Genomic DNA, 7,851 nt, shown 5'->3' with positions numbered 1-7,851 from the left:
GTGGGGTCCTCTTCACCCCAGGGACCTTGCATTCATGTCTAATATAGCTCTTGGCTGGCAAAATGCCTGGTGCACGGTAGTGATTTAACAGATATGTGTTCAGGATCCGACATGATGAGCCTTGCAAGTGTTAGCTCTCTGGGGTTGGAAACAGTAGCAAATAACATTTTCTATGTTTCACAGACACTTCCTCCTTCAGCCAAAATATTTAGAAGTTTTTTTTTTCATACCTTGCATTTGTGCAGTGTGAGGTCTTCCCAAGGTACTTTTATGTGAGGCTGGGTCTCACCTAAACTCTGCAGTGAGCAGACAGCATTGCCCTATTTTACAGATAAGGCCATTGAGGCATAGAGGCTAGTTGGCCAGTCTAAGATAATAACCCAGAGGTGGAGATTGAAGTCCAGAGAGGTTAGGTAAATGGCCCAGAGGCACACAGTATTACCTAGTAATCTATGCTCAATGTGCAAAGAAGCCAATACTGTGGTACCAGCTTTTGAGAAAACAAAAGCTTTATTGTAAGTTGACTGGCAAGGAGACAGGAGGAAAAGCTCAAATTTGTCTCCTCAAGCTGGAGACTGTGGCAGGTTTTACAGGCACAGGGCAATGAGGTGTAATCTGATTGGATCGTGCAATGAGGTGATGCCAGGAGGCATGGTCTGACTGGATCCCGCCATGGGGTGGCACCAGGGCTCGATCTGATTGGATCCCAGATCCTGCCATGTCACGTCCGCTTCTTAATTTAGTCCCCGCTCCTTGATCTGAGCACTTAGGTTCCACCTGTGGCTGCACACTTGGTTCTTCTGGGCATGCTCAGAAGTTGAAGGTTACGTGACCTTCAACTCGAGGGGTCCATGGCAACTGAAAAACAACTCACAACCTTGTTACATAAAAGTTGAGGTGGATTGGTCTTGCATGATTATGGCAGCACAGAGCCAGCAGGAAAGAGCTCATCAGACCCCAGGCCCATGTGTCTCCAGAATCCACCTTCTTTTCCCCTTACCAACTACCCAGAGTGAGAGCCCACTGTTGTCGGGGAGTCTGAGTGCAGGCTCATCCCTCCACTCCTCATTCCATTGCCACAAAGACCCTCTGAGCTGGAGCATGCAGCTCTGCCTTCCAGATAAGGACACTGAAGCTCTGAGGGGCTGCAGGGACAGAGCCAAGCTTTGCCTCCAGGTCAGTCTGGCTGGAGTCCAGTGCTCTTTCTCTACAACCAGCCCATTCCTTTTCTCTAAACTTTCCCATATTTTATGCCCTAAGGCAGACAGCACAGGGAGAGGAGTATTTCAGGGATATATCTGGCGAAGATTTAAAGGCAGGTGCTGATCATAAACCTCGAGCATTTGCGTTGGTGGGGCTGAGGACTCCAAGCAGAGATGCAGAGGCTGGGCTGGATTAGCTGTGAGAGGCATCTATTTGCTCCAGGCTGGGGCCATGTGAATATTTATGCCTCAAATTTACAAGGGTTTTGTTAGCAGGGTGAGAAGCAGGAAAGCAGGAAGGGAGGAGGAGTAGGAAGACAAGATGGTAGAGGAGGGTGACCAGGAGAAAGTGCTTCCCTTGAGGCTAGGTGTAAGGATCTCTCCCTTTTCTGGCCAGCCTGCACCAGACCAGCCCCTAGGATTCTTCTAGAAACAACTCCAAATATCTTCTTTCTCCTTTGGAGAGGTGGGGGTGCAGGTGGAGAAGGCTGGACATTGGCCCAGATTGAGAAAGGCTTTTCCTCATTTTCAGCTCAATTGGCCTCAGCTGCCTCCATCCCCATGTCCCACATCCCAGCAGCCACCAGGTCCTCAGTTCGAATTTGCAATAGAATCTGTTCCCTTCACTCCTTTTCACGTCACTCCTTAGTCCTGGCCCCCATCAACCCTTGCCCGGGCAACAGTAGGAGTCTCCTTGCTGTGTTCCTTTGTCCCCTCCTGTCCCAAACTGTCCATTCCCCACCACACTGGCCCAGGAGAGACCCCTTTGCAAGTGCAAATCTGACCACATCCTCCAGCTGAAACCATTTCGTAGCTTCCTATAACGAATGCACACTTATCTACAGGTAACATTTTCGAATATTTAAAAATAGTTCTCCTTGAGTGGTGGGAGATGGCTCTAGCATACTGCAATGTTGCACTGCGCACGGCCTGGCACTATTGTAAGAATTTTATCTTTGCCCATGGTCTTCCCCTGCCCAGCATGCCTGCTCCTTTTGTCTAAATCTTCCCCATTTCCTGGTCCCACTTACAGTCTCACTTGCTCCAGGCTGCCTCCTCACCCTGACCCCTATTGCTGTAGTTATTGGAAATACTCCTGTCAACACCGATTTTTCTTCCCTTCTGAGCAGGACGTCAGGTTATCCCTTGGGGAGGGTGATTCTTTTCAAAGGCCAAGCCACCATTTGTGAATTCCAGGTATTATTAACACTTGTCAGTAATCAGGCCATTCTAGTAACTATTGATCGAGCACCAACAATGTAGGCAGTGTTCGTAAAGCTGCTGGTGTTTTGGGGAAACAGAAGTGCCAGCTGCACACTTGGTGTGTGGGTCCTTTGGGGAACCAGGGAGCTGGTTTTGGGGTTTACGGGCATCAGGAGAAGGAAGCCACAAGTCAGCAGTGCCAGCTCTTGGTCGCGATGAGCATCTCTGTCTGGACCTGTTTCCCCTTCCAGCTGTGCTTTCCTCTCTACCACTCTGGGTGGAGCCATTTATCCTGATTAGCAGATAATGTGCCCATTAATGGGAAATCAAAAAGGATGACTCAAGGGGAATTTTCAAGGTCAGGACGTGGCCTTTCTATTGAGAGTTCAGCTCTGTAGAGAAGGAAAGGGAGAACCTACGGCCAGTTTTCCTGCCTAGTCCCCAAGGGGGTAGGGTGTGCCCCCAGATCCTGCTTGAAACCTGTCAACCCCACTCTAAAACTTCACCTCCTCCTGCTTCTCACCATGAGAAGACTGAGCCTGGTATTAAAGAACTCTTAACATTAAAACAAAACTGAATTTTTCCCAACCGATTGGCAAAATCAAAAAGATCAATAATACCCAGTGCTGTCAAGGGTGTTGAAAAATGGCATTTTTGTATGCTATCAATGGGAGAATAAATTGGCCCTATCTTTTTGGATAGTACTTTGCCATTTCCCAGAAACAATTTTTACATATGAGGAATCTGTAAAATTCATTCAGATGCTAGTGTGAGTGCATTAAAGATATGGATAGGAATAGATTTTTTTGTACCAGCAAAAAATTGGAAATAATCTAAACATTCATCCATAGGACATTGGTTGAATCAAGAACAATATACTTAAAAATGCCACACAGTTTTTCATTTTAAAAAGTATGATTCATCTGTAGGTGGTGTTTTGGAGGATGGTGTGTGGTGTATTGCTGTGTGGGGATAAAGTAAGTTGCAGGGCCTTCCTGATATCCCCGGAGCAGGGTCCATGTATCCTGTCCACACCAATATTCTCTGCACTTGGTACAGAAGCTGCCTGACCCCAGGAGGTGCTCTATAATTGTGGCTTCTATTACTATTGTCAGCAGATCATAAATTAATGGTGTTTTTTGTTTTTGTTTTTGAGATGGAGTTTCACTCTGTCACCCAGGCTGGAGAGCAGTGGTGCGATCTTGGCTCACTGCAACCTCTGCCTCCTGGGTTCAAGCAGTTCTCCTGCCTCAGCCTCCCGAGTAGCTGGGATTACAGGCCCACGCCACCACAGCCAGCTAATTTTTTTATTTTTTTTTAAGTAGAAATGGGGTTTCACCATGTCGGCCAGGCTGATCTTGCACTCCTGATCTCAAGGGATCCACCTGCCTTGGCCTTCCAAAGTGCTGGGATTATAGGCGTGAGCCACCATGCCCAGCCAATGTGTGTGTGTATTTATATACACACACACGTATACATATATATACATATATATACATACACATATGTGTATATATGTGTGTGTGTGTGTGTGTGTATATATATGTGTGTGTGTGTGTGTGTGTGTGTGTGTGTATATATATATATAAAGATAGGATCTTCCCCTGTTGCCCAGGCTGGAGTGCAATAGTGTGATCACAACTCATTACAGCCTCCGCTTCCTAGGATCAAGTAATCCTCCCAACCCAGCCTCCTGAGTACCTGGAACCACAGGTGCATGCCACTATGCCCAACTAAAGTTTTTATTTTTTGTAGAGACAGGGTCTCAGTGTTGCCCAGGCTGGTGTTGAACTCCTGAATCCAAGTGATCCTCCCACCTTGGCCTTCCAAAGTGCTGGGATTACAGGCATGAACTACCACTCCTGGCAATAAATAAATGTTTGGTGAATGAATCCTACTTTGTAAAATTCTATGTGGAAACAGAAAAAATTTGGAAGAAGCCCACGAAAACGTTAATAGAGTTTACTATTGTTTGGAGGAGAATTGGCAGGGAGGGGATGGGAAGTTCACTTATATTTTGTTCATTTCTGTATTGTTTGAATTTGGTATGAGTTTGTGCTATTTTTGTATTTGTAATAAAAATCAAACAGAAGTGGGAAAAAAAATCCTTACACTGTTGTTCCTCTGTATCCATGCTAGGGTATCCACTGTGAATGTCCCAACACACATACTTGGGCTTTTGCAGGCCTGGAGACCAGTCCTGCCTCTATCACTTCCTCCCTCATGAACAGTGGTGACAAGAGCTCTTCTCCAGGGATGGTAGGGGGAATCGTATGCAGCAAGGGCTCAGCACTGCTCCCAGCACATAGAGATCATGCATCGCTTTTAAGTGCCATCCACCTTCCTGTGGGGTCTCATTTACTAACTCTTCCACTCACCATTTTTTTTTTTTTTTTTTTTTTTGCCCCAAAGCCTTTGCTTGAATTCGGCAGAAAATCATTCATTTCTGAAACGTGGCCAGGGAAGAAACCCTCAGGAAGATCCAGCCCAACTCTGTCATTTTGTGGAAATCAGAGCTCAGAGGGGTTAAGTGACTCGCTCGAGTCACACAGCATCCAAGTGCTTGAGATGATGATATCTGCACTGAGCCCTAAAGCCATGTGCTTTCATTGCATTGCCCTGTTTGGCAGCAACTTAATGAATTAATGTTTTGTCTCCCCAAGAGGTCTCCTAGAGGTCTTCCCATGAAGAAGAGTCTTTAGTGGGAGCTTTTCTTAATCTGTCAGAGGCCACCAGGTGTAGGATCCACTCCATCTGACTCTGGGAAAGGAAAGGAAGGGGCCAATCTCAAGAAGTGTGTTCATATTTATCTGAGTTCAGGAACCCGTCACAGTCTCCCTCCCTGGCCATCCCTCTCCAGTTGTACACACACTGAGGCTGACTTCCCCATGAAAAAGTCTTCCTCGATCATTAAAATCCTCAGAGTCAGCCAGATCTGGATGGAAAATGCTGCTCTATTTAGTTGTGTGTCTCAAGTTACTCAACTGCAAAAGGGAGAGAGTGAGATCTACTTGTCAGGTGCATTTTGAGAATTAGGTAAGATAACAATTACACTACTGGGTGCCATGGGCTTGCTGGTAGGATGATAGACAAATTTGAATCTGTTTGACCTGGAGGCCACCTGCTGAATACAATGGAGCTCTATGGCTTGGGGATAGGACAAGAAAGCAATGCTTCTGACTATATAGAAGCGGGTGATAGGTGTTGAAAGTCATGGTCCTTGGAGCCTTAGAGTCCTGAGTATGAGTCCCAGATCCATTGTGTACCATTGACAAGACCTTGGGCAAGTCCCTTGAATTCAGGGCCTGTCTTTCCTCATCTGTAAAACTGGATATAAGGCACTTAGCCCAATGCCTGGTATATGATAAATGCCAATTAAATGTTAGCTTCTTTTAATATTTGATCATTGTTACTGCTTTTACTATTATGGTGTGGTGGTCATTTGTGCTATTCACGAACTATTTCTTGTTTGCTTCTGGGCAAATGGAAGGATTGCATCTCTCTGCCCTATTGAAGTTAGTTTTGGCCTCTGACTTGCTTGGGGTCAATGAAACGTAAGGAGGATGTGTGTCCCTCTGCCTAGAGACTCTAGGGCCTAGCATGTGATTTGTTACCTTCCTTTCTCCTGCCACAGTGACTGTGATGGGAGAATTCCAGCTCTGAGCACACTGCACAAGTGATAGATAAATCCTTCGGTTGGGTTGAGCCACTGAGATCAGGGGTCAGCTGTTACAGCAGCACCACTTGGCCTATCCTGACAGATACATGTGGGTGACCCTGACATGGCAAGACAATGGGTGATAAATGGCCATCTTGTTTGTAATGTGAAGAAGGAGAAGAGCAGAAACAGAGGAGCTTATTCAGTTCTTTATCCAGGAAGTTTTTGTCGAATGGCGTGATTGAAACTTGCAGGCACCCTCCTCCCCCAGAATGGAAGAGTTGGGATGTGGGTGGGTGGTTGCACAGATCGGAGACCAGACTGCAGCTGTGCATTTCCTCTTTGGAATCGGCTGGTCCTATGCCTGAACGTCCCCCCATCTATTTCTCTGCAAAGAGTAGGCTGTCTGTGCTTCTTGCTGTGTGACCTTCCAAGTGACTTCCAATGATCTCTGCCCAGGAGGATTTGAAAACTGCCCTTCCTGGAGGCAGCCCTGGTGAAAATTCCCCTCTGCTTGCTCTCAGCCAAATCCACTAGCAGCCTCCCTGTGCAGGGCCACCTGGGTGAAATCATAGAGAAGGGACCGTGCACTGAATAACCACCCCCTCAGTAATCTCTGGATCCCTTTACTAGAGAGAAAGAAGACTGGAAACCCAGGCACCGTTGAACGAGCTAATGTTTTGACTCACACTCACTTATATTAAGGTATAAGTGACAGATGTAAAGTTATTCAACCCTGCACTGAAAAACCCACTGCTTTGGTGGAGATGAACAGCAAGATGAAAATGCCTAAAAGCCGAGAGAGAGAACTGAAAGGGGTAAAAAGGGACACTGAAGAAGAACATTGGTGTAGGGAGGGGTAGGATGGGCACTAAGTCAAACTTCCTTTGGGAGGTGATGTGGGTGCTTTGAAGTCAGACTGCCTGGATTCAAAACCTGCTGCTGCCATTTGGCAGCTGTGTGATCTTCAGGGTAAAAGTTGGATCGTTCTGAGGCCAAGAGAGTGCAGTTGGCTCTGTTCGTGAGATATTCAAATACCTGTGCAGGACCAGAAGTGGGGCTGTCTCCCCCCATCCGAATGCCTTCTCCTGTGACCCCTAAAACTCATTAGCATCAATACCAGGAGTTATGTTTTCTTTGTTTTCCTGCAGGGGTATCATCGAGTAGAGCCCAGTTAAACATTTACTGAGTTCTTCCTATGCTAGGGCTCTGTACTAGGTATTGTACGTAGGGAAGAAAAGGGTGCCATTGGTGGAACTCTTCAGAGACTGCAGGGAGAGCTCTGGGTTAGAAAACACAGGGCATGCAGTCTGGGAAGGTCATTTCCCCTCCTTGGGATTCAGATCCATATGTAATAGGGAGAAACCAATATCATCTCCTTCATCGCATACTGGGGGACTAACCAAAAGGGCAGGGGTGAAAGGGCGTGTGTAAAGGCCATCTGCAAACAATGAGGCTTTAATTATGATTGAACCATTGGTGTCCACTGAAGGTCATCTTTGATAGTGTTCCCTGTCCCCGTCAAAGCTCACTGGGGTTTCCACAGGATGACTTGATGGGAGACGTTTGACCAAACTTGGCTTGTCTTGGGGGACTGAGCAGCTCTCCAGCACAATTCCTTGGAAGAGAGGGGCCTGTTGCTATTGTCCATCAATGGATTCTCCACCTAGAGCCAGCCCTCTACATTCCCATTCTGCGGAACTGTATCCTGCCTGAAGAATTGCTAACCATCTGGCCCACGCAGCCACATGCCAGAGGATTATCTTCAGTGTGCGAACAGCAGAGATT

Source organism: Homo sapiens, chromosome 16 (genome assembly GCF_000001405.40).
Source record: "Homo sapiens chromosome 16, GRCh38.p14 Primary Assembly".
Lineage (NCBI taxonomy): Eukaryota > Metazoa > Chordata > Mammalia > Primates > Hominidae > Homo > Homo sapiens.
This window is presented reverse-complemented; position numbering follows the sequence as displayed.